Below are 25,720 nucleotides of genomic sequence, written 5' to 3'. Positions count from 1 at the left end.
TGCGTCTCCCACCCACAGTGGACGGCCCTGATGGCCTTGGCCAGCTCAGCTCTCGGTTTCTTGCTGGCGGTTCTGGGAGGAGCTGCAGCAGGCGGGGAAATGCAGCGTCTCAAGATACAGAGGAACCGCCCAGCACAGCCCGAGCCTCGTCCCCGCCCCTGTCCCTCCCAACTTTAGAGGTGGCCTTGCCCTCAGAGAGGAAAATCAACCTGAACTAACCCGGAACGGCGTTGAGGACCAGCAGGCTGACCCTGACTCGGTCTGAACCCGAGCACTCCTCCGCTGCTCTGCCCGCCCGGGCCTGCCGGGAGGGCTGGTGCATGAAGATGTTTAACAACACAGCCGGCGAGCACGCGGGAGCCTGCGCCTGTGTCCCTGGCTCCTGAGGCCGTCCGAGGTCTGTTAGGTAAGCAGATCAGGGAGGAGCTGCCGGGGACCACGCAGACCGGGGACCACGCAGACTTTGCTCCTCCCTCCCCGGCAGCAGGAGGTCCCTCTGAGCGCCGCCCCTGAGGTGTAGAACCCGGTGGGCTGCCTTCCAAGGTCCCTCGGCTGTGGTGCAAATGGGGCATACACAGTGGGGACTCTGCGCCCCAGACAGCTTTCTCAGGCCTTGGGGGACCGGCTCATGATGAGTTTGAGGCTTCTTTTGATCCTTGCTGCCCGTCTGTGAGTAGTAAACCCGCATCATGCAGCTTGTTGTGAGTTTATTCTCTCACTGGGCTCAGGTGTTGCTCACCCTGCTGCCGGGATGCCGTGGGCAGAGCTGCCTCCTCCTGCTTCTAGCGGGTGGCCCAGTGACACTGTGTGCTTCCTCCATGCCGCAGGAGTCCTCCCTGGGCCTGGCAACAGTGAGCCTGCATCACATGCACCTTCTTCAGTCCTGACTCAATCCACACCCCTCAGAGGGGCCTAAGGATAAAGGTGGCCTGTGCATAATTGTCTGCCCACGGCTTTCATGTTGGAGTGACACTGGTGCAGTCACGAGACGGCCAGTGGTGCAGGGTCGGCATGGCCGAGGAGCAGGGCCTGGACAGACCCAGTGGTGCAGGGTCGGCAAGGCCGAGGAGCAGGGCCTGGACAGACCCAGTGGTGCAGGGTGGGCATGGCCGAGGAGCAGGGCCTGGGCAGACCCAGTGGTGCAGGGTGGGCATGGCCGAGGAGCAGGGCCTGGGCAGACCCAGTGGTGCAGGGTGGGCATGGCCGAGGAGCAGGGCCTGGGCAGACCCAGTGGTGCAGGGTGGGCATGGCCGAGTAGCAGGGCCACCGACAGGCCTGGACGGGCCCCGTCCTCACCACTTCTGCAAAGAAGCTCCTCACACAAGCTCATTGGTGGGGTTACTGTGGTTCACACCCAAGCCACACTCTGGTGGCCTCTCTGCCACATTTGGAATTAGCTATGGGTGAGTTACTTAATCAAGCAGGCATTGAACTGGCTTGGGCCTGGCTTAGGCTCACTCTCCTCCAGGGTCTACAGCTGCCCACCGCGGCATCACCAGCCCCATGGCTCCCGAGCCTGCCAAATGTGGCCATTTGAACTAAGGGTGCTAAGGTTCCAAAGATTGTACAAAAAATAAATCAATAAAATAAGAAGAAGAATGTGAAATAGCTCAATAACAACTGCATATTAGTACATGTTGAGTGATCATATTTTGGAGATGATGAGTTAAAAAGGATACATCATTAAAATTAATTTCACCTGTTTCTTCTCACAAACCATGCACAGGTGGCTCGTATTACATTTCTGCAGTGTCAGGCGGGGTCTATAAACCTCTGGATAGAGGAAGGCCTTTCACGCAGTAAAGAGACGCGCTGGGCCTGGTCACCATGGGAGAACCACACTATGCCCGCCAGCCTGGTGCCCAGCAGGCAAACCAGGTGAGCTGTGTGATTCCAACCTGACGCCACCCAGAGGGGGTGTGGGAGGGAGAGACAGGGGAAGAGGGGTGGAAGGAAGGAGGGAGGGAAGGAGAGGGGGAGACAGGGAGAGAGAAGGAGGGAAGGAGAAAGAGGGAGAGGGAGAGGAGGGGAAAGGGAGAGAGGAAGGGAGGAGAAGAGAGAGGAGAGAGAGGGAGTGAGGAAAAGAGAAAGGAGGAGGGAGAGAGAGACAGAGGAAGAGACAGAGGCAGGGAGGGAGAGAGGGAGGAAGGGAGGGAGGGAGGGAGAGGGAAGGCGAGGCTGGACAGAACTCCTCCAGTCACCAGCACGAGTTTCCCAAACATTCTGTTTCCTTCCTCTAGTTCTGATGGGCCTAGCGCAGTGTGCCATTGGGAGGGGGCAAGGAACACAGGTGTATGTCACTTTATCTTAACATAATTCTCTAGGGGGTAAGTTAAAATGGGAGGGGAAAAGGCAGAGATGAGGGGAGCCACCGGCACCCTGTCCAGGGGATCTGAGCTGCACGTCTGTCCAGGGCTGAGCCCCACGGGACCCGGGAAGGGCCTGCTCTTTTGAGATGAGACACTCATCCCATTAGGTGGTAACGAGACCAACATGGACTTCCCTCCATGTGGCATGTCAGCAAAACGTGAAGAAATGAAGACTTGGATTTGAGGTGTCTGTGGCGGAGGACGTTGGCGTGACTGTTGAAGGCCAGTGCCTGCGTGGCACGTGTGTGGTCCTGCCTCGCACTTCTGATGCTAGGTGAGCAATGAGGGATTTACTTACATATGAGCACAGGTGGCTTAATCACTCCCAGAACATCTTAATTCAAAAAGAAAATGGTGGGGGGAGGGAGAGCATTGGGAGATATACCTAATGCTAGATGACGAGTTAGTGGGTGCAGCACACCAGCATGGCACATGTATACATAGGTAACTAACCTGCACATTGTGCACATGTACCCTAAAACTTAAAGTATAATAATAATAAATAAAATAAAATAAAAATAAAAAAAATAAAAGGCAGTTTCTGCCTAAACCAATAAACAAACTTAATACAAGAGATGCCAATTAGGTTAAAGTTATAAAGGTTCTAAAAGGTTAAAGTTAGAAAGGCTCATCCAATATAAGTCATTTAAAAACAGCAAATAAGTAAAGAATTACAAAACCAGGACATAAAAGTTGGTAAAAATTAGTGTCAAAAGAGTTAGAATAAAAGTTGATTAAGCATGATATAAAGTTTCAATAATAAAAACTACCAATATTCAATTTAAATGGAACCATAAAAATGGATATTAGAAATGTGAAATTTTCTATTACTATAGGATCTTTCATGTTATCGAGAACTGAATCAAGCACAACTAAAAATCAGTTTTTACTCTCAAAAAAAAAAAAAAAAAAAAGAAAATGGCAGCTAAGTATAGGACTCACACCTATAATCCCAGCACTTTGGGAGGCCAAGATGGGAGGATTACTTGAGCCTAGGAGTTCCCTGCTAGACTGGGAAACATAGTGAGACCTCATCTCTACAAAAAATTTGGAAATTAGCCAGTAAGTATTCTGCAAATAGATTCCTTTAAAATTAAAAATATAAAGATAAAAAAGTCTGCTGGATGTGGTGGTACACACCTGTAGTCTCAGCTACTTGGGAGGCTGAGGCAGGAGGCTGTCTTGAGCTCAGGGTATTGAGGCTGCAGTGAGCCACAATTGCACCAATGCATTACAGCCTGAGCAACGTAGCAAGACCCTGTCTCAAAAAAGAGAGAGAGAAAAAACGGTTAATGTTGTGGACAGGTAGGCAAGGGCACAGGTGATCCTCTGAGGGTACTGCCCTTTGAGACATAGTGGCAGCCACACAGGTAGGCAAGGGCACAGGTGGTCCTCTGAGGGTACTGCCCTTTGGAACATAGTGGCAGCCGCAGCTGCACACCCATGCAAGGCTGTGGCACAGGCTGTGTGTGCATTTCTAATAACGACAAACAGAAATAAACCCCAGTCTCTTGCCCTTTGAATACAGCTCTTTTTGGTTAGAGGGAACTATTTCCACTCTTTCTATAATTCCATCTTCCTAATAATGCTTCTTATGTTAATCAATTTGACTTAAAATTACAGTGGCTTGTGAGCCTGGAGTGGGCACAGTTCTGCTCCAGGCTTTACCTGCTCTCCCTGGCAGTTACATGTTGACACGGAAGGATCTGCTATGTTCTCAAGCAAACCATTTCTTATTTTGCAATTATAACTGCCCTACTCACTGCATGTTGTCTTTGGTGGTTCTATAATTAAAGAGCAGAGAATTTTTCTTCCCCTCGCTGCACAAGGTGAAAAATGTTAGTTATTTTCAGAGACCCAGCTGCTACAAGCATTAAAAATTACTTAAAACATAAATGTATGGCATTGTGATCACAATGGATTGTGTTGTTGTAAATGAATTACCCTGTAAATTGCTGTTTAAAATTAAAATATAGCTTATGAGGAATGGCAGGAAAGTAATACAGAAGGAAGTATGGTTTCATATAATTGTCTCCAAAAGCCTGTCCCTGACAGAAGTGATGGCAAAGGAAGTGCCAGAAGCAGCTACCCCCGCCTGGCAAAGTTAAAGTCTGCTGGCCCCCGCGACATGCTTCTTTCCTTGTATCTCCCTGAAGACCTCCCCGCCTCCCACAGGTCCTGAGCCTGTATTGAGGGTCTGCACTGTGCTTGCTCCAAGGTGGCTAGCAGGTGCATAAAGATGAGTGAGCACTGCCCTCCCTCAGACAGCGTGGGGCTCATGGGGAGCCAGGCACCGTGCAGACAGGCAGGAGGAAGGGGCCGTGGTGAAGATGTCTCGGGGTCTTATTTGGGCAGCCGAGGTGGAAGCGGTAATATGCCAGTACACACGAAAGAGATGATTGGTTGATTTAACTTGACTGATTGATCTATGCCAGCAGATTGTTGAAACTCACAGGAATTTAGAAGCTTGGCGTTGGGAGGAGCCTCTGGGAGGTGAAATGCCCCCGCCAGCTTTCTCAAGCACTCGCGGGAGACGGTAGTCTGTTCTCTACTTGGACGCTTCCAGAGGTGGAAAATTTGCCACTTTGTGACACATCCACTGCCCGTGGGGGCAAATTCAAGCCTTCTCCCAACCCAACAACCCGAAGGTCATGTATTCGATTTGGATATGTTAACTTGGAAATCCCTGGTGACTCCCAAGAGAAGGCTCACAGCAAGTGGAGGAGGCAGGAGCTGACGGAAGCTACTGGCCATGCTCAGAATGGCCTTGGCACATGGGGACCAGGGGAATCACAGGAACAAGTTTGACTCTCATGGAGGGCTTTTATAAAATGGGGGTTTGATTTAAAAGGCAATGCAGCATGTTTGGAGGGTTGTGAGCAATGGAGTAAACTAATGCTGGAAGTATTTAAGAAGATTAATTTATCAAAAGGAGGATGAACTGGAGAGAGAGAGACAGTGGCCTCCCAGGCACTCCCACGGATCCTGACTCTCACGTTCAATAGAGACCTGGAGGTAATCTTTTCCACCATTAGATAAGCGAAGGGCTCCACACAAGATTCCTACCAAGAGCCTGCACAGATGCTCCAGCTGCAGTGGCCTCCCCCTGATCTGAGCATCACTTGCTGGCCACCTAGGCATTCTCCAGCCCAAACACCCCAGCGTCTTGTCCTCCTTTGACAGCATCTCCTGGTCCTTCTGTATCCTGCCACATCCTGCTCCTGCTGCTTCATCACACATCGGTCCAGAAGTTTAGATGTAATCATAGAAAAAAAATTCATTAATTTATTTCCACATTCCTCTGATATCTATATGGCAGCTCATCAATGTCAGGTGTTACATGAGGCACCAAAGGTGCTGAGGAAAACAAGCAGTTCTTGCTCAAAAGAAGTCTCAGCTGAATGGAGGGAGATGGACAAAGTGAAAACATCCATGGGAAAAAGACCATTATCAGTCATGGTCCAAGTCTGTACAGGGGTGCTGGGTCTGCAGTTGAAAGACCTGTCCAGGGTGAGAGGTATTATTCCCACAGCCTAATAGCGAAAGGACCCTTCGATGTAGTCATGAACAATGCGTAGGCTTGACCCAGAAGACAAGGACATCAAAGTCTTTCCAGCAAGGCAGGCTGAGCTTCTGAACTGAGAGACTAGACATGCAAGACAGAAGGAGTAAAGTGCCCAGAAGAAAGGAGGAACCACTCCTAAATACATGGTGGCAATTCTTGCTCTGAACTTGAAAGAAAGAAAGGAGAGTAGATGCAGAAATGAAAAACAATGTTGGTCTGTCTACCACATTTGGGGGGATTAAGGGAGTTCCCATTTTTACCCTAAATGTTCTCTGAATTTTTTTTTTACCCTAAGGGATAGAAGTAGTAAAGTAGAGAATTCAGGAAGAACACAGGATGAAATAACTGTCTCTCATTATTTTTTATCCACATGTGATGCAAGTGAGACGCATTGTTGAGTTTAACATGATAAAGACTCTGGGATAGATTGTGCTAGGAAGAAAAAACATATTTCGAATAGCACTGGTAAGTTGAAGAGTATAGCAATGGTGATGTTTTTAGAGGGTGAGAAAACCACTTCAAAGAAGGTAATTTTGGCCTTCGTCTCATTGTTTACATTTGTCTGAATTGTTTTCTTCTTTAATATGAAACTGAAAACTTCTTGAAAGATAGTTTTTATGGGTATATGAATAAAGGTTGACATTACTTAGTGTCCGCACTGCAAAGATGTAATTCCATTGGCTCCTGGTTTCCATATTGAGGATGGAGAAGTCGGCTGTCAGTCTAATTGCAGTAGTTCTTTAATTTCTTTAACCAAATGACTTTATTCTGTTAATCCATTATCAATCTTTAATGAGTTCTTTATCTTTTCTCCAGATACTTTTCAGATCTTCTATTTATCCTTAAATTTCACTATATTGCACTTAGGTGCAGACTCCTTTTTATGTATCTTGCTTGAATTTGTGTTTCTGAATCTAGGCATCCATGTTTTTTATAAATTTTAGATAATTCTCAGCTATTAACTCTCTACATAGTTACTTCGTTCTCTGAACTAGTTCCTTTGTGAATTCCAATAACATATTAGAACTTCTAACCCCATCTGTAATATCTTTCAAACTCTATATGACATTTTTGAAATGTCTGACTTTATGTTGTGTTCTGAGTAATTTTTCAGCATTATCTTCTAGTCCACTTATTCTCTCTTTATCTGTGTCATCTCTTCTATTTAACTCATTTATCAAGTTGTGTTTTGTTTTTTGTTTTTTTAGATGGAGTCTTGCTCTGTCACCCAGGCTGTAGTGCAGTGGCACAATCTTGGCTCACTGCAACCTCTGCCTCCTAGGTTCATGTAATTCTCCTGCCTTGGCCTCCTGAGTAGCTGAGATTATAGGCACCTGCCACCATGCCCAGCTAACTTTTGTATTTTTAGTAGAGATGGGGCTTCACCATGTTTCTCAGGCTGGTCTCAAACTCCTGACCTCAAATGATCAGCCAACCTTGGCCTTCTAAAGTGCTGAGATTACAGACATGAGCCACCATGCCCAGCCTATCAAAGTTTTCTTTCTACTGTTATATTTTTACATTTACGGAAGCATTTGTAATTATTCTGTTTGCAACATATATGGTTGTTTTCAGATTTTTGCCTATTAAAATAAATTTTTTATTATACTGTTACATATTGTAGCACCTTTCCTAAGGTATAATTGACATACGATAAATTGCAAATATTTAAGTGTATTATTTGACACATTTTGGCAGATATATACAACCATGAAACCATTATTACAATCAGGAAAATGAGCATATCCTCTGTTTGTTTATGCATTCACTTAATGATGAACATTTGGTTGGTTTACAATTTGGGGATACTACAAATAAAGTTCCTATAAACATTTAAGTGGAAAAGTCTTAGTGAGAAAACATAGGCTTTCGTTTCTCTTGAGTAAATGCCTAGGAGGGGAAGGCTGGAATACATGTTAGGAGTGTGGTCAACTTTTTTTTTCTTTCTTTTTTTTCATTTTTCTTTCTTTTTTTTTTTTTTGAGACAGAGTCTTCCTCTGTTGCCCAGGCTGGAATACAATGGTGCTATCTCAGCTTACTGCAACCTCCACCTCCTGGGCTCAAGCAATTCTCCTGCCTCAGCCTCCCATGTAGCTGGGACTACAGACACCTGCCACCACACCCGGCTAATTTTTGTATTTTTAGTAGAGATGAGGTTTTACTATATTGGCCAGGCCGGTCTCGAACTCTTGACCTCAGGTGATCCACCCTCTTCAGCCTCCCAAAGTGCTGGGATTACAGGCATGAGCCACCGTGCCTGGCCATCAACTTTTAAATAAACTGCCACACTGTTTTCTATAGTGGCTTCACTGGTGAATCCTACTAAACATTTAGGGAAGAAATTATACTATTTCTGTTAGAAATGCAAAATGTTTGTTCTTCAGTGCTGCAAGGAAAAATTAGCATTTAGACAAAAAGGTTTTTTAGTGAGGTAACTTTTATTTTTTGCAGTAAGAGTGCCCTTTGCAGATGGAATAATGGCAAGGGTACATATAGAATAAGGAGACATTAGAATATTTATTCCTAATTGAGGTCTTTATTGCTGTGTCCTGTCTCTGTTGGCTGGAGCTAGACCTCATAATTTAAACTAAAACTCGATTGGCTAATAATTAAATACTTTTTAAAAATAGGTATAAATGTTATAACATTTCTAAATAAGGAAGGGGCATAGGCTGTGAGCTGGGACATGCCTATGAGCACATCCAACACAAATATCTTGGTTAAGGTACAAGGACATAGAATGTACTATGTGCCTATGTGCATGTCTAACAGCTACATAGGATAGGGCTTAACAAAGAGTTATTAGTACAAAGCAAGGAGGCTTGAAAGAAGTTAGTTTTAAAAAGAAACTATTATTTCTAACACTTATGATTTATTCTTAAATTTTGAGGGGGAAAGTGTTTACTTTCTACAATTTCTACACAAACTCTTTTATAAAATTGAAGACAGAATTTCTTTCCCAATTCATTTTTAAAGTCAGTATTACCCCAATACCAAAACCACACAGTCTTAAAAGTACAGAAAAAAATAAAAATAAAAAACTCTCATTAATATGGATGTACAACTTCTGAACAACATTCTAGCAAATTCTATCCAGTTGTGTACAACAAGGATAATACATCATGACTAGGTTCATGCCCATATTACAACACTGACTTAACATTAAAACCCCAGCAAGGGGCCAGGCACAGTGGCTCACTTTGGGAAACTGAGGCAGGTGGATCACCTGAGGTCATGAGTTCGAGACCAGTCTGTCCAACATGGTGAAACCCTGTCTCTACTAAAATTACAAAAATTAGCGGGGCATGATGGTGGGCACCTGTAATCCCAGCTACTAGGGAGGCTGAGACAGGAGAATCACTTGAACCCAGGAGGCAGAGGTTGCAGTGAGCCAAGACTATACCATTGCACTCCAGCCTGGGTGACAACAGTAAAATATTGTCTCAAAAAAAAAAATTAGCCAGGCATGGTGGCAGGCACCTGTAATCCCAGCTACTCAGGAGGCTGAGGCAGGAGAATCGCTTGAACCCAGAGGCTGTAGTGAGCCGAGATCACACCACTGCACTCCAGCCTGGGCAACAGAGTGAGACCCTGTCAAAAAAAAAAAAAACCAGCAATGTAATTAACCATATTAATAAAACAACTTCAACAAGTGAATTTTGCGGAATGATTCAATTCAGTCTATAACAGGATGCCAAATATTGAGAATCGTACTTTGCTGGGTGATGGATATTTTTGTACTTCTGTACATATTCTTTTTTTTTTTAATTATACTTTAAGTTTTAGGGTACATGTGCACATTGTGCAGGTTAGTTACATATGTATACATGTGCCATGCTGGTGCACTGCACCCACTAACTCGTCATCTAGCATTAGGTGTATCTCCCAATGCTATCCCTCCCGCCTCCCCCCACCCCACAACAGTCCCCAGAGTGTGATGTTCCCCTTCCTGTGTCCATGTGTTCTCATTGTTCAATTCCCACCTATGAGTGAGAATATGCGGTGTTTGGTTTTTTGTTCTTGCGATAGTTTACTGAGAATGATGATTTCCAATTTCATCCATGTCCCTACAAAGGACATGAACTCGTCATTTTTTATGGCTGCATAGTATTCCATGGTGTATATGTGCCACATTTTCTTAATCCAGTCTATCATTGTTGGACATTTGGGTTGGTTCCAAGTCTTTGCTATTGTGAATAATGCCGCAATAAACATACGTGTGCATGTGTCTTTATAGCAGCATGATTTATAGTCCTTTGGGTATATACCCAGTAATGGGATGGCTGGGTCAAATGGTATTTCTAGTTCTAGATCCCTGAGGAATCGCCACACTGACTTCCACAATGGTTGAACTAGTTTACAGTCCCACCAACAGTGTAAAAGTGTTCCTATTTCTCCACATCCTCTCCAGCACCTGTTGTTTCCTGACTTTTTAATGATTGCCATTCTAACTGGTGTGAGATGGTATCTCATTGTGGTTTTGATTTTCATTTCTCTGATGGCCAGTGACAATGAGCATTTTTTCATGTGTTTTTTGGCTGCATAAATGTCTTCTTTTGAGAAGTGTCTGTTCATGTCCTTCGCCCACTTTTTGATGGGGTTGTTTGTTTTTTTCTTGTAAATTTGTTTGAGTTCATTGTAGATTCTGGATATTAGCCCTTTGTCAGATGAGTAGGTTGCGAAAATTTTCTCCCATTTTGTAGGTTGCCTGTTCACTCTGATGGTAGTTTCTTTTGCTGTGCAGAAGCTCTTTAGTTTAATTAGATCCCATTTGTCAATTTCGGCTTTTGTTGCCATTGCTTTTGGTGTTTTAGACATGAAGTCCTTGCCCATGCGTGTGTCCTGAATGGTAATGCCTAGGTTTTCTTCTAGGGTTTTTATGGTTTTAGGTCTAACGTTTAAGTCTTTAATCCATCTTGAATTGATTTTTGTATAAGGTGTAAGGAAGGGATCCAGTTTCAGCTTTCTACATATGGCTAGCCAGTTTTCCCAGCACCATTTATTAAATAGGGAATCCTTTCCCCCATTGCTTGTTTTTCTCAGGTTTGTCAAAGATCAGATAGTTGTAGATATGCAGCGTTATTTCTGAGGGCTCTGTTCTGTTCCATTGATCTATATCTCTGTTTTGGTACCAGTACCATGCTGTTTTGGTTACTGTAGCCTTGTAGTATAGTTTGAAGTCAGGTAGTGTGATGCCTCCAGCTTTGTTCTTTGGCTTAGGATTGACTTGGCGATGCGGGCTCTTTTTTGGTTCCATATGAACTTTAAAGTAGTTTTTTCCAATTCTGTGAAGAAAGGCATTGGTAGCTTGATGGGGATGGCATTGAATCTGTAAATTACCTTGGGCAGTATGGCCATTTTCAAGATATTGATTCTTCCTACCCATGAGCATGGAATGTTCTTCCATTTGTTTGTATCCTCTTTTATTTCCTTGAGCAGTGGTTTGTAGTTCTCCTTGAAGAGGTCCTTCACATCCCTTGTAAGTTGGATTCCTAGGTATTTTATTCTCTTTGAAGCAATTGTGAATGGGAGTTCACTCATGATTTGGCTCTCTGTTTGTCTGTTGTTGGTGTATAAGAATGCTTGTGATTTTTGTACATTGATTTTGTATCCTGAGACTTTGCTGAAGTTGCTTATCAGCTTAAGGAGATTTTGGGCTGAGACAGTGGGGTTTTCTAGATATACAATCATGTCGTCTGCAAACAGGGACAATTTGACTTCCTCTTTTCCTAATTGAATACTCTTTATTTCCGTCTCCTGCCTAATTGCCCTGGCCAGAACTTCCAACACTATGTTGAATAGGAGTGGTGAGAGAGGGCATCCCTGTCTTGTGCCAGTTTTCAAAGGGAATGCTTCCAGTTTTTGCCCATTCAGTATGATATTAGCTGTGGGTTTGTCATAGATAGCTCTTATTATTTTGAAATACGTCCCATCAATACCTAATTTATTGAGAGTTTTTAGCATGAAGGGTTATTGAATTTTGTCAAAGGCTTTTTCTGCATCTATTGAGATAATCATGTGGTTTTTGTCTTTGGCTCTGTTTATATGCTGGATTACATTTATTGATTTGCATATATTGAACCAGCCTTGCATCCCAGGGATGAAGCCCACTTGATCATGGTGGATAAGCTTTTTGATGTGCTGCTGGATTCATTTTGCCAGTATTTTATTGAGGATTTTTGCATCAATGTTCATCAAGGATATTGGTCTAAAATTCTCTTTTTTTGTTGTGTCTCTGCCTGGCTTTGGTATCAGAATGATGCTGGCCTCATAAAATGAGTTAGGGAGGATTCCCTCTTTTTCTATCGATTGGAATAGTTTCAGAAGGAATGGTACCAGTTCCTCCTTGTACCTCTGGTAGAATTCGGCTGTGAATCCATCTTGTCCTGGACTCTTTTTGGTTGGTAAGCTATTGATTATTGCCACAATTTCAGATCCTGTTATTGGTCTATTCAGAGATTCAATTTCTTCCTGTTTTAGTCTTGGGAGAGTGTATGTGTCGAGGAATTTATCCATTTCTTCTAGATTTTCTAGTTTATTTGCGTAGAGGTGTTTGTAGTATTCTCTGATGGTAGTTTGTATTTTTGTGGGATCGGTGGTGATATCCCCCTTATCATTTTTTATTGCGTCTATTTGATTCTTCTCTCTTTTTTTCTTTATTAGTCTTGCTAGCGGTCTATCAATTTTGTTGATCCTCTCAAAAAACCAGCTCCTGGATTCATTAATTTTTTGAAGGGTTTTTTATGTCTCTATTTCCTTCAGTTCTGCTCTGATTTTAGTTATTTCTTGCCTTCTGCTAGCTTTCGAATGTGTTTGCTCTTGCTTTTCTAGTTCTTTTAATTGTGATGTTAGGGTGTCAATTTTGGATCTTTCCTGCTTTCTCTTGTGGACATTTAGTGCTATAAATTTCCCTCTACACACTGCTTTGAATGCGTCCCAGAGATTCTGGTATGTTGTGTCTTTGTTCTCATTGGTTTCAAAGAACATCTTTATTTCTGCCTTCATTTCGTTATGTACCCAGTAGTCATTCAGGAGCAGGTTGTTCAGTTTCCATGTAGTTGAGCAGTTTTGAGTGAGATTCTTAATCCTGAGTTCTAGTTTGATTGCACTGTGGTCTGAGAGATAGTTTGTTATAATTTCTGTTCTTTTACATTTGCTGAGGAGAGCTTTACTTCCAAGTATGTGGTCAATTTTGGAATAGGTGTGGTGTGGTGCTGAAAAAAATGTATATGCTGTTGATTTGGGGTGGAGAGTTCTGTAGATGTCTATTAGGTCTGCTTGGTGCAGAGCTGAGTTCAATTCCTGGGTATCCTTGTTGACTTTCTGTCTTGTTGATCTGTCTAATGTTGACAGTGGGGTGTTAAAGTCTCCCATTATTAATGTGTGGGAGTCTAAGTCTCTTTGTAGGTTACTCAGGACTTGCTTTATGAATCTTGGTGCTCCTGTATTGGGTGCATATATATTTAGGATAGTTAGCTCTTCTTGTTGAATTGATCCCTTTACCATTATGTAATGGCCTTGTCTCTTTTGATCTTTGTTGGTTTAAAGTCTGTTTTATCAGAGACTAGGATTGCAACCCCTGCCTTTTTTTGTTTTCCATTTGCTTGGTAGATCTTCATCCTTTTATTTTGAGCCTATGTGTGTCTCTGCACGTGAGATGGGTTTCCTGAATACAGCACACCGATGGGTCTTGACTCTTTATCCAATTTGCCAGTCTGTGTCTTTTAATTGGAGCATTTAGTCCATTTACATTTAAAGTTAATATTGTTATGTGTGAATTTGATCCTGTCATTATGATGTTAGCTGGTTATTTTGCTTGTTAGTTGATGCAGTTTCTTCCTAGTCTCGATGGTCTTTACATTTTGGCATGATTTTGCAGTGGCTGGTACCAGTTGTTCCTTTCCATGTTTAGCGCTTCCTTCAGGAGCTCTTTTAGGGCAGGCCTGGTGGTGACAGAATCTCTCAGCCTTTGCTTGTCTGTGAAGTATTTTATTTCTCCTTCACTTATGAAGCTTAGTTTGGCTGGATATGAAATTCTGGGTTGAAAATTCTTTTCTTTAAGAATGTTGAATATTGGCCCCCACTCTCTTCTGGCTTGTAGAGTTTCTGCCGAGAGATCCGCTGTTAGTCTGATGGGCTTCCCTCTGTGGGTAACCCGACCTTTCTCTGGCTGCCCTTAACATTTTTTCCTTCATTTCAGCTTTGGTGAATCCGACAGTTATGTGTCTTGGAGTTGCTCTTCTCGAGGAGTATCTTTGTGGCGTTCTCTGTATTTCCTGAATCTGAACGTTGGCCTGCCTTGCTAGATTGGGGAAGTTCTCCTGGATAATATCCTGCAGAGTGTTTTCCAACTTGGTTCCATTCTCCCCATCACTTTCAGGTACACCAATCAGACGTAGATTTGGTCTTTTCACATAGTCCCATATTTCTTGGAGGCTTTGCTCATTTCTTTTTATTCTTTTTTCTCTAAACTTCCCTTCTCACTTCATTTCACTCATTTCATCTTCCATTGCTGATACCCTTTCTTCCAGTTGATCGCATCGGCTCCTGAGGCTTCTGCATTCTTCACGTAGTTCTCGAGCCTTGGTTTTCAGCTCCATCAGCTCCTTTAAGCACTTCTCTGTATTGGTTACTCTAGTTATACATTCTTCTAAATTTTTTTCAAAGTTTTCAACTTCTTTGCCTTTGGTTTGAATGTCCTCCCGTAGCTCAGAGTAATTTGATCGTCTGAAGCCTTCTTCTCTCAGCTCGTCAAAGTCATTCTCCATCCAGCTTTGTTCCGTTGCTGGTGAGGAACTGCATTCCTTTGGAGGAGGAGAGGCGCTCTGCTTTTTAGAGTTTCCAGTTTTTCTGTTCTGTTTTTTCCCCATCTTTGTCGTTTTATCTACTTTTGGTCTTTGATGATGGTGGTGTACAGATGGGTTTTCGGTGTGGATGTCCTTTATGTTTGTTAGTTTTCCTTCTAACAGACAGGACCCTCAGCTGCAGGTCTGTTGGAATACCCTGCCGTGTGAGGTGTCAGTGTGCCCCTGCTGGGGGGTGCCTCCCAGTTAGGCTGCTCCAGGGTCAGGGGTCAGGGACCCACTTGAGGAGGCAGTCTGCCCGTTCTCAGATCTCCAGCTGCGTGCTGGGAGAACCACTGCTCTCTTCAAAGCTGTCAGACAGGGACATTTAAGTCTGCAGAGGTTACTGCTGTCTTTTTGTTTGTCTGTGCCCTGCCCCAAGAGGTGGAGCCTACGGAGGCAGGCAGGCCTCCTTGAGCTGTGGTGGGCTCCACCCAGTTGGAGCTTCCTGGCTGCTTAGTTTACCTAATCAAGCCCGGGCAATGGCGGGCGCCCCTCCCCCAGCCTCGCTGCCGCCTTGCAGTTTGATCTCAGACTGCTGTGCTAGCAATCAGCGAGACTCCGTGGGCGTAGGACCCTCCGAGCGAGGTGCGGGAGATAGTCTCGTGGTGCGCCGTTTTTTAAGCCCGTCGGAAAAGCGCAGTATTCGGGTGGGAGTGACCCGATTTTCCAGGTGCCGTCTGTAACCCATTTCTTTGACTGGGAAAGGGAACTCCCTGACCCCTTGCGCTTCCCGAGTGAGGCAATGCCTCGCCCTGCTTCGGCTCGCGCACGGTGCGCACACACACTGACCTGCGCCCACTGTCTGGCACTCCCTAGTGAGATGAACCCGGTACCTCAGATGGAAATGCAGAAATCACCCGTCTTCTGCATCGCTCACGCTGGGAGCTGTAGACCGGAGCTGTTCCTATTGGGCCATCTTGGCTCCTCTGATTCTATACATATTCTTGAGGGTTGTCCAAGGACAACGTTGAGTTTCTTTGAAACAAGATTGAGCCTTTTGGATCTTGCTTTTAAGCTTTGTTAGGCAGAACCTGAGAGGTGAGCAATTAAGGATGAATTATTCTCCAGTACCGAGGCAACACTCTCCTGTGTGCTCTACCCAATGCGTATTCAACTTTGCCTGGCAGGAGAGGCGGCCGGCCCAGTGTGAGTGCTGGGCATTGACCTCTACTCCTTCCCAGAGCCTCCTTCCCGTTTCGTGAGTCTTTCTCTCGTGCACCGAGCAGCACTCTGTGGCCTGCTCCACCCAGACCTGTTGTGGATCCCAGGAGCTCGTGCCCCACGCCTGTCTCTTTTCTGCAAGACTCTGTAGGGCAAAGGTCACTTTCTCTCACCTCCACAGACTCTCGGCTCTGTCTCCTGCGTTCAGCCAGGCTGTGGGCCGTGCCTGGGCTCCTCTGCCTGTGTCATGGCTCAGAGATTCTCTTCAGGCAGGAAGCTGGAGAGCGTCAGGGCTCAGCTCACTTGCATGTCATCTGTCATGGGTCACTGCCCTTTGCTACCCTATGTGCAGTGTCCTGAGAGCCATTAACAGGGGAGAGACAATTGTGGCCAGATGGGACACCGTGGGATGCCAGTGTGTATGTGGTACCACTGTGGGTGCATAGGTGTGTGTTTTTGCTCTGAGTGTGTGCAGTGTGTGTGTGTGTTATGTGTATGTTATATGTTGTGGAATGTCCAGGTGTGTGGCCTACGGTGTGGGAGGGCAACACTGCAGGGGTACTTTCTGTTCATGGGAGTGGCCAGGTCTGTGCTGCTCCTGAGAGTGGGGAATGTCCAGGCAGCAGGAAGTGCCTTCCCTCCTCCTCCCCTGCGGGTCCTGCCAGTGCTTAGCAGGGAGGAGATGGGGCTGTGACTGCCCGGTCACTTGTCTGGCTCTGGGTCGAGGCAGTTCTGAGCACAGTACACTGGGCTGCCCCCACTGCCCAGTGCCCTGCTCAGCTCAAGTCCTTGTGCCCCTCCATGTCTAGACAAAGCTGCCCCTGGGCGGGCTCCAAGTGGGGGCAGGGGCCGCCTGACAGTGGGGGACAGCAGTGGTTCCACTTGACTCAGCCTGTCTCTGCCTCTTCCTGATGAAAAGCAGCCACTCTGATATCCCACTCAAGTGTGGCTGCCATCTTCCAAGGAGAGCGGGACAAGCAATTGGGTTGGGACAGCAGCAGGGGGCTGGCAAAGGGGGCTCTTTTGCTGAGTTTGGATTTCATGCCTGAAGTGCTCAGCAGAAACCACCCTCGTCCCTGTTTCATCAATCACATATGCTGCACCTCAGCATTCCAGGTGGTTAAGACCTGAGTGGAAAGTCCAGCCAGGCATTAACAAATTCATCTTCTGTGTGCGACTGCAAATTTTGGTTGTCCTTTTCTGATTGAGAGCTGGGAGATTAACCTGATTCTTCATTCCCACAAAGCTCCACAGAGAGATGCACCATGCACATAAACTCGACACACATAGCGAGTACCCAGTGCAGACACACACAACACACACAACAGTGACCAATCACATAGATATGGGCACACAACACAGGCATGTAACACACACAGACATGCCACCTGCACACAAGGCACACACACCACATAACACACATGGGCATTCCACAACACAACACATAACATACACATAACACACACACCGCACACACTCAGGGCAAAAACACACACCTGTGCACACACAGTTGTACCATGTACACATTGGCATCCCACACATGCACACTCACACACACACACACACACTTCTCGATCATGTATGCACAAAACATGGAAGGATGACAATAAAATGTGCAAACTTTGCATCTGGGAAACCCAGCTACAAGCATTAGCCCTCAAAATACCTTTGTTTTCCAAAATTATGTGCCACCGTTTCTTTTACTACAAACATTTCTTCCTGGTAAAGAGGAGAAAATAACTTCAGAAGGTACTAGGCGCTCTGGGCTGAGCTGACCAGCCCCAAGATGGGAGCAGGGGTGTCCAGGAAGGCAACAGGCCCCTGGGCCCCTGTGTGCAGACTGCACATCACCTGTACCCCTGGGGAGTGGCAGCTGGCCACATGTGTGGAGAGGCCAGGCTCAGCCCCGCCGTCCCACGGCACCCAGAAAGCCAGGTTGCAGAGGCTGGCTCCCAGGAGCACGGCCCTCCCTGGGCCCTCGGAGTTAGTACACTGTCTCCAGAAACACCAGCCCCCTGTCCCGTAGCAGAGCGGTCTCTTGCGGGTCTCAGGCCTTCCAGCCTGACTGTCCACCTTTGCAGCCAGCTCCCCTCCCTTGCCGTCTGCTAGGATGACCTCCCACATTGCAAGTGGACCACGTGGGAGCCCTTGGCCATTTGAGAGGTGGTGCTCAGTAAGAGGGCACGTCTTCACATCACTCTGAAAACTCATCGCATGGGAAATAAGGCCACATGTCTTCTCTCGCTGCCTGGTACAACACACGGCTTCACCAGTTTCAAACAATGTGTCCTGTGCTCTGAGCTTCACCTCAAGACCAACTGCACGGTGAGAAAAAGGAAGAGCCATTTGCTATGACACCACGGACAGAGGAGAGGATGTGCAGCTGCCTCCTCAGTCCTTAACCAGCGAACCTGCAGAAAAGCAGCACCTTCAGTCCAGGTGGGAGCTGGCGCAGGCAGTCAGGGTGGGAGGGAGGCACTGCCTGGACCTCTGAGCTCACACAGCCCCTCCCTCTGCAGAAAAGGTCTCCTGTGGCTTCATCTCTCACTGATGCTGAAGTACAGAGGGCTATGCCCCAGGCCTCTCAGAGCACGTGGCTAACCCCAGTTGGGGCTGTCTCCCTCTTGCACACGTGGGCCCATTGAGGGCCAGTGCCCTGTGGCTCTCTCTGGGGTCCCTTGTTCCACAAGGCACGGTGGCAGAAACCAGTGTCCAAGACCTGCATTCCATAACTCCCCAGAGGGTCTTCCACAGCCTAGTGCTCAACTCTGCACTTATGAAATTATTAAAGTGAATCAATGTGTGATTTTGCAAACCCACAGTTTCGAGGAGAGATTGAGTGATCTCTGTAGACAATTTCTTGGCGGTATCAGGGGAGAGATCGTCAGCATCAGAGAAACAGTCCGTCACCATCGAAAGGGATTCCCGCTCCTTCTCCACATCATGAGTTCTGCTAACAATGACTAAGCAATGGCAATTTGTAGTCAGCATTACAGGCTAAGATTATGAACAGGGTTAGCCTGTGTTACACACTGCAAGACTGCAAAGGGGAACGACTGTGCGTCGTTTAAATCAATCGGGAATACGTAAAACACCTACTGAAACTGTTCATGGGACAAGGCAGGTATAAATAAATTGAATATGTAACCCAAATCATCAATTAAACGTACTGACCATTGATAAATGTCACTTCCTGGGAGACACTAGAAAGATCAAGAGAAAAGAAATCTTTCTTATTGGCCACCGAATCAACACGAAGCAAGTGAGGCCGCACGATGCCGTTCACCACTCAGTAAATACGTGTCCAGGGAAGGCGCCCGCGGAGGAGGCCCCCGACCCGTGGCTGATCTGGTTCTCTGGAGAGCTTACCTGTTTAGTGACCGGCCTTTGCTCCGGCCAGCGGACGAGGGGCTCTTACTGAGACTCACTTCACGTTTGCAGATGTTGGGGGTGGTGTTTGGGATTTCTTGCTATGCAAGTGTCTTCAACACAACTCCTTGTGTGGAACTTAATATGGTTTTTTTGTTTTTTGAGATGGAGTCTCACTCTGTGGCCCAGGCTGGAGTGCAGTGGTGCAATCTCAGCTCACTGCAAGCTCCGCCTCCCGGGTTCACACCATTCTCCTGCCTCAGCCTCCCGCGTAGCTGGGACTACAGGCGCCCGCCACCACGCCCGGCTAATTTTTTGTATTTTTTAGTAGAGACGGGGTTTCACCATGTTAGCCAGGATGGTGGAACTTATGTGTTAAAGAAACACTCACTACCCACCACCTACCCTAAAAAAATAGAAAATCGCCAGGTACTTAGGCATTCCCGCATGCCACTTTCTCCCACTGGAGAGAAGGACTCTGAGCCTCCCAGAGGTTCTGCAGCATAACTGGGTTGCCTCAGCTTCTCTCGCCCAGACCTAGAATTTCACTTTCTTGGTTCTGCTAAGTAAGTCTCCACTTCTCCTGCTTCCTAGCTTCTAAGGTCCTGTTCTGTTGATATTGACTCTCTTGTCCTCTCTGTTACAGCAGGTCTGCCTTTTCGTAAAAACTCTCTTTCCTGCAGTTTGGTGTTTTGGGGGGAATGAGATGGGACCCATCTGTGCAATCTGCACCTGACACCTGAAGCCCAGCGTAACTTCCCAAGGTGACAGCTTCAGGATTCATCAAAGCTGGAGCTGAGAAACCAGGAAGACGGTTTACTCTGAAGAATTCTGAGGCCATGCAAAGTATTTGTGAAAAGTGCAAAACAATTCCAGTGACTTCTATAGCATCAACACAATCATTGCTGCAATATTAAAATTTCAAGTCTTTGAGCAACTAAACCCACAGGAGAAATATGAAATGTACACGTTGATCCAACAGCTGATTTGTAACTAAAGTCACTCTTGTAAGTTTAGGCAGGAAAGGAACTCTTTCTTTATGTCCACACTGGGACCAGTCGAACACAGAAGCACCATCTTCAGATGTCGCAGTGCACGGCTGGACTGTCCCTGCCTTCCCAGTGCGGGGCCTTGAGAGGCATCCCAGTGGGTTCTGTGGGCCCCAACACACCAGGCAGAAGCCACCTCTCCTGGGCAGGGCCATCTATCCTGCCCCACACAAAGGAACTGACTCAGATCTGCAACAGAGGGGACACAGGGCATGTTCTGGAAAGGTGCCCAGTGTGACCCCAGCTGGGGTCTGGAACTTACGGGGTCCAAAAAGAGTCACCACCCAGGCCACCCAGGGAGCAGTGAGTACACGGGGGACGGGCAGGGGGATTCTGGACACTCGCTGTGCATTCATTTAACTCATCACCGGCAGCTTGGAGACAAAGGAGGGAGGGCGGCCTTGCTGGGCCTGGGGAAGAGCTTCTGGGACACCATGCTGGCCAGAGAAACATGGCAGTGACACACGGAGAACTGTGAAGAAGGGCCTTCCTTCCCTGGCCCCACTTCTTCACGAAGCCCCCAGCCAGGTGCAAATCAGCCCAGAGAAGGCACCTGTGCCAGCAAGGCCTCGTCCCCTCCACCTGGTCAGCTCTGCGCAGTGGGGATTGGCGGCAAGCATTGCACCTTCAAGCATTGCACCTTCACGGGGCTGGAGCCGGATCGGCCCACAATCCCAGGATCTAGATGGAGGGTGGGCACCTGCTGGGAAGAGAACGGAGAAGGCAGTGGGGCTCCCCCGGCCTCCTGTGGCACTCAGGGCCAAGGAATGGCTCTTTTCCAGCCAGAGCATGGGTAGAGGCCACCTGCGTTCACCTCAGAGTAAGCGAGGTTAGAAGGGGCTTCTTCCCATGACAGCTGAGCGAACAGGGGACCCCAGACATGCGAACACTCTGCTCCCTTCACATCCCAGGCACACCCCACACAAACTGGGCAAGTCTATTTTATAACAATAAATATGATTGTTTCTTCTTCGTGTCCACATTGATGTCCATTGGCCACAGCTCAGGCTCACTTATTTTGTATGGGAAGCAACAAGGATTCATTTTCTAAAGACTCAGCTCAGCTCAGCTGAGGGGAAGCTCAGGTGCTCATCATTCAAGTCCATATGGCTTTTGCAGCCACCGCATCAGGCAAAGCCATGGGCCCCCATGTAGATCTGCAGTCCCCACTAAGGAGGCAACGACGCAGTGCCCTGACCATGGGGAGCTCATTCGGCCACAGCACTGGGGCTTCGGGGCTGCTCTAAGGAGGCCTAGACCATGCCGCCCCCGCCCGTCCAGACCCAGGCCTTGCAGGTACGCACAGTGCCAGCGTGCCAAGCCCCCGCACTCACAAGGCCAGTGCTCACGGCTGCACACCAAGTCCTTGCCGGCTGGCATTGCTGTTTCTGAACACACCGTCAGGAAGGCTCCCTAGGCAGTGTAGCCAGCTGCCTGGCTTGAAGCGACGGCCCGATGGGGAGAGCTTGGGCCACCTGCACCCTGTGCTTCCTGGCTGGGTGTCCAGGAGGATCATGGTGCTGGGCTGAGTCCTGCCACACACAGGCAGAACTGGTGTCCTTCGAGTTGTGAGGAACCCAAGTCACCGCCAGGAGGGGTGTGGAAGATGTTGGGAAGACCTGGGAGGGCTGCACCTTTGTGAACACGTGGAGCCCTGGGGATGGGCTGAGCTGGGCTCTGCAGACCCTGAGGGCCTGTGCACATGGGCAGGGCCCTGACAAAAGGGAGGTGGTGCAGCCTGGCTTCTGGAGGCTGAGGCAGCCATCGGGATTAGAGAGCACAGCAGTCACAGATGGTGACAGGACAGAGCAGGAGAGAAAGTGGGGCCAGGGACAAGGCTTCACAGGGAAGCCAGAGGCAGCCTCAGTTCCGTGAGTGCCCGTGGGAAATGAGACTTTCTGGTTGAAATAATAGCACTTTAGGAAGGTCATTTAGCCATCCTGAAGTCATTTTGAGGAGGGGGTGATTATGAACCTGGACACTCTAGGGCACTTCCATGGTTAGCCTTGTAGGGAGTGCACAGATGTTACTGGAGTATGAGCCTTGGCTGCTGCAGAGCTCCCTGAACACCAGAGTTCTTCTTCCTTGATTGAGGCTGAGTCTCCAATCGTGAAAATCGAATGTGTGCGCTAAGTCTCTCTCATATTCTCTTTGGAAGTAGAGTGGAAGAGTTTGTGCAAAGAAAAACGTTGTCAAACACAATAATTGTGTGGATTTGCAATAGAAATATTCCTTTTTGCCCCAGGTTGTGGGCCCATCTGCTCTATATCTGCTTGCCCCTGTCAGTTTAGAGTCCTGGAGGTCTGTACAATAGTGGTTCGTGTCATCGTGGGCTCTGCTGCCTTCCGATCATCACAGCAGGCTCCCAGCCCAGTCGCTGGATGGGGGAGGGTGGGGACATGATTGATAATTGAGATCCCAGAGGAGGCTTGGTTTCTAGAGCAAGCCCTCAAGTCCCCGTGGAGAACCCAGGAGCGGACCCATTGCAGTGCGCACGATGGGTCTGAAAAGGGCCTGGGTGGGGGATCCCTTGGGCCAGAAACACTTCTGGTTTCCCTGGAACAAAGGCCTTGCTGCTGGGCTCACAGACTATCAGTCAGAGAGTGGGAGGCGTTGGAAAGACCCGGCGCGTGAGAAACCAACAGCTGCGGAAAAGGGGATCCCTGCTCCCACCCCCACACAGAGAGGTGAGTCAGGGAATCACGGCCGCACTCAGCACAATCGACAATGACTCGGCAGCTCTCTCAGCTCAGGGGCTGTGTTTTCAACCACTCGGCTCTTTCTGACCTCCCGAGCTCCCGGCGTCTGTGCGCGCCTGGAGGACTGCTCTTCCGCTGCCGTGTGGCCTTGAGCTTTATAAATGATCCGCTCTCCAAAGGCTTTGACAGACCATTAGGATCGAAGAAATCGGACATCGCTTCAACCTGTTGTCCAGTCCTGGGCACGCGTGTAACTTTCAATGACGCATCGGCACAATGGGTTCGAGCTCCCCATCGGGCTCCAGGCTTGAGTTCAGAGCTCAATGCTAGCGTGGCTTGACCAGAAAGCTCTCAGCGTGGCAGCCAGGCCCCTAAGCAGCCACATCCTTCCATTCTGAGTGAGTGTGAGCCGTGCCCGGGAGTCGCTGAGGGGCTGTGGGCTGGTTTAGGTGCGTCAGGACTCACCCGGCCCCAGACGGCCCAGTCACAGACCCCATGGCAGATACGAATAGCAGCGGAAGATTTTCATTGCTCAGGTCCATTTCGGATGAATGAGAACGTCGCCTTCTGGTCTTCATCCACAAAGAGGCTCCCTTTGCATATTCATTTAATGTTAAATTGATGGATTAAATTATACCAAGTTCAAAATCAATCCTGCATATATTCATTAGAAAGGACTAAACCCCCCAGTGGGGACAGAGCACAGAAAATGCATTTAGAGACACTGATAAGTCCAGGCCCATTATATGTCATTTTAAACAAAGAGCAGAAAAAAAGCCCTTTGGAGACGCTCTATCAGCTATTAAACAGAGATGCCGCGTGCTCTGGGAGATTGATGGCTGGTGTCTCCATCCTCCACACAGCTCTCCCTAGGCTGATGATAACAAGGGGACACTTATCGTGTCTCTGTCGCAGTTCACAGGCAAACAGACGCCACAGCACTGGTCCTTCCTTTTGTCTTTCCCGGGGTGCAGTCAGTTCACAAGTGCCAAAGTGCCAGGCACAGAACTCCTGCCACGTGCCAGCACAGCAGGCCGACTCTGCGGTGTTGGAGACCACCTCTCCATCTCCTGAACCGGAGGCGAGTCCCCAGAGCCCAGGAGGAGCACACAGGGCCACGTCGGGAGAAGAGAGTGACCCCAGCCACCATTGCACTCTGGGTTTTCGTGGGACACATTAGTTCTTGGTTATCACCTCTGGTGGGGAAAACACTCCAGACAGGCCCTCCTGTGGTTTTTATTTCTCTTCAACCTTGTGGATTTTTCCACTGCCCCCCTTTAGCACTGCTCCCCTCTCCCCATCTTCCCAGGCTTCCTCCTGCCCACGCTGATGGTAGCCAGAGGGAGCAGAAGATGCAGCCACGCTTAGGGCGATGAGCAGGCCTTGGAGAGGGCAGGGCCAGCGGCCCTGGGGCATTTTCCATTTCTCCCACGTCCCAGCTTTCATCCCATAAATGTTCAGTGTCTCTCTACAAACACAATGCTTTTACTTTTTACTTAGTCTACTAGTTGGCCCGAGTAACATTTATGAAGGAAACCCCAATATTTTATATAACTTTTTTTTTTTGAGGTGGAGTCTCGCTCTCTCGCCCAGGCTGGAGTGCAGTGGTGCGATCTTGGCTCACTGCAACCTCTGCCTCTCAGGTTCAAGCGGTTCTCCTGCCTCAGCCTCCTGAGTAGCTGGGATTACAGGCACACACCGCCACGCCTGGCTAATTTTTAGCGTATTTTAAAAAAATCAGTGGGGCTTTCACTTCCGAGTAAGATGAAGTAAATATCAGCAGAGTGTACTTCACTGTAAAATCTAGGGGAAAAAAATGGAATAAATTACAAAAACCATAGTTTTAAAGACTTTAGAGAACAATAAAAGCAATGAGAACCACGTGAACCAAAATTTCAGTGCTGGGCCAGGAAGATAAAGTGGAATTTCCTGTTATCTCACAGTACTCAAGAGAGAAAGCCCTAAAGTGAGGGGCCTGCAGCAAGGGTGGCAGCTCTTCTCACCAAGATGTTCACTAGATTGTAGAATGGCATGGATGGCTCCCAGCTAAATCCCCAGAAGGATATAGTCTCTACTAAAAATAAAAAAGTTAGCCTGGTGTGGTGGCAGGCACCTGTAATCCAAGCTATTCAGGAGGCTGAGGCAGGAAAATCGCTTGAATCCAGTAGGAGGAGGTTGCAGTGAACTGAGATTGCACCATTGCACTCCAGCCTGGGTGACAGAGTGAGACTCTATCTCAAAAAATAATAATAATAATAATAATAATAATAATAATAATAATTCATCAGATGGGTTCACCAATAAACTGACTATAGTTGAAAATGGAATTAATTAATTGAAAATGGAATTTGAAAGACAAATCAATAAACAGTACACTAACTGAAACCCAGAAAGAACAGAAAATGAAGAAAATGTAACAGAGTGTGAAGGACATGGGGAAAATATTTTCAACAATCCCATCCTGCAAGGAGAAAGGAACATGATGGAACTATTTGAAGAGAGAATGGCTAATATTTTCAAACCCTTAAAGACATCAACTCACAGGTTCAAGAAATTCAGTAAACACAAATAGAATAAAGACAAGGGGAAAAAAGCTTAAGATTGGCAAAAGAATGATTCCATGGTACTTTCAAAGGAGAAAGAAAACTGGACACATGAGTGA

The 25,720-nt window shown here is 47.2% G+C and overlaps 1 long non-coding RNA gene and 1 other non-coding gene across 2 annotated transcripts, besides 8 other annotated features; both read left to right on the top strand.

Annotated features, from left to right (window-relative positions):
• The first annotated feature begins 141 nt into the window (after positions 1–141).
• On the top strand, positions 142–21,328 carry LOC105374614 (uncharacterized). The gene is made up of 4 exons (XR_925684.3): positions 142–406; positions 1,727–1,878; positions 2,477–2,643; positions 19,957–21,328. It is a non-coding gene; the product is annotated as an uncharacterized LOC105374614 (long non-coding RNA).
• Positions 14,978–15,541: an enhancer, noted in NCBI's record as "H3K27ac-H3K4me1 hESC enhancer chr5:1710100-1710663 (GRCh37/hg19 assembly coordinates)". NCBI's record gives its function as "activates a minimal SCP1, AML or CMV promoter by ChIP-STARR-seq in naive H9 embryonic stem cells {active_cell/tissue: H9 hESC(naive)}" and the evidence as "EXISTENCE:reporter gene assay evidence [ECO:0000049][PMID:30033119]".
• Positions 15,542–16,106: an enhancer, noted in NCBI's record as "H3K27ac-H3K4me1 hESC enhancer chr5:1709535-1710099 (GRCh37/hg19 assembly coordinates)". NCBI's record gives its function as "activates a minimal SCP1, AML or CMV promoter by ChIP-STARR-seq in naive H9 embryonic stem cells {active_cell/tissue: H9 hESC(naive)}" and the evidence as "EXISTENCE:reporter gene assay evidence [ECO:0000049][PMID:30033119]".
• Positions 16,107–16,670: an enhancer, noted in NCBI's record as "H3K27ac-H3K4me1 hESC enhancer chr5:1708971-1709534 (GRCh37/hg19 assembly coordinates)". NCBI's record gives its function as "activates a minimal SCP1, AML or CMV promoter by ChIP-STARR-seq in naive H9 embryonic stem cells {active_cell/tissue: H9 hESC(naive)}" and the evidence as "EXISTENCE:reporter gene assay evidence [ECO:0000049][PMID:30033119]".
• Positions 16,634–16,789: a silencer, noted in NCBI's record as "fragment chr5:1708852-1709007 (GRCh37/hg19 assembly coordinates)". NCBI's record gives its function as "represses an EF-1alpha promoter that drives an FKBP-Casp9 reporter gene in an ReSE screen in HepG2 liver carcinoma cells {active_cell/tissue: HepG2}" and the evidence as "EXISTENCE:reporter gene assay evidence [ECO:0000049][PMID:32094911]".
• Positions 16,658–16,741, top strand: MIR4277 (microRNA 4277). The gene has a single exon (NR_036240.1). It is a non-coding gene; the product is annotated as a microRNA 4277 (primary transcript).
• Positions 17,391–17,890: an enhancer, noted in NCBI's record as "H3K4me1 hESC enhancer chr5:1707751-1708250 (GRCh37/hg19 assembly coordinates)". NCBI's record gives its function as "activates a minimal SCP1, AML or CMV promoter by ChIP-STARR-seq in naive H9 embryonic stem cells {active_cell/tissue: H9 hESC(naive)}" and the evidence as "EXISTENCE:reporter gene assay evidence [ECO:0000049][PMID:30033119]".
• Positions 17,891–18,392: an enhancer, noted in NCBI's record as "H3K4me1 hESC enhancer chr5:1707249-1707750 (GRCh37/hg19 assembly coordinates)". NCBI's record gives its function as "activates a minimal SCP1, AML or CMV promoter by ChIP-STARR-seq in naive H9 embryonic stem cells {active_cell/tissue: H9 hESC(naive)}" and the evidence as "EXISTENCE:reporter gene assay evidence [ECO:0000049][PMID:30033119]".
• Positions 21,541–22,040: an enhancer, noted in NCBI's record as "H3K4me1 hESC enhancer chr5:1703601-1704100 (GRCh37/hg19 assembly coordinates)". NCBI's record gives its function as "activates a minimal SCP1, AML or CMV promoter by ChIP-STARR-seq in primed H9 embryonic stem cells {active_cell/tissue: H9 hESC(primed)}" and the evidence as "EXISTENCE:reporter gene assay evidence [ECO:0000049][PMID:30033119]".
• Positions 23,249–23,882: an enhancer, noted in NCBI's record as "H3K4me1 hESC enhancer chr5:1701759-1702392 (GRCh37/hg19 assembly coordinates)". NCBI's record gives its function as "activates a minimal SCP1, AML or CMV promoter by ChIP-STARR-seq in primed H9 embryonic stem cells {active_cell/tissue: H9 hESC(primed)}" and the evidence as "EXISTENCE:reporter gene assay evidence [ECO:0000049][PMID:30033119]".

The sequence above is a fragment of the Homo sapiens genome, chromosome 5 (genome assembly GCF_000001405.40).
Source record: "Homo sapiens chromosome 5, GRCh38.p14 Primary Assembly".
NCBI classification, from domain to species: domain Eukaryota; kingdom Metazoa; phylum Chordata; class Mammalia; order Primates; family Hominidae; genus Homo; species Homo sapiens.
Note: the sequence above shows the minus strand (reverse complement) of the source record. Positions and strands in the feature narration are given on the sequence as shown.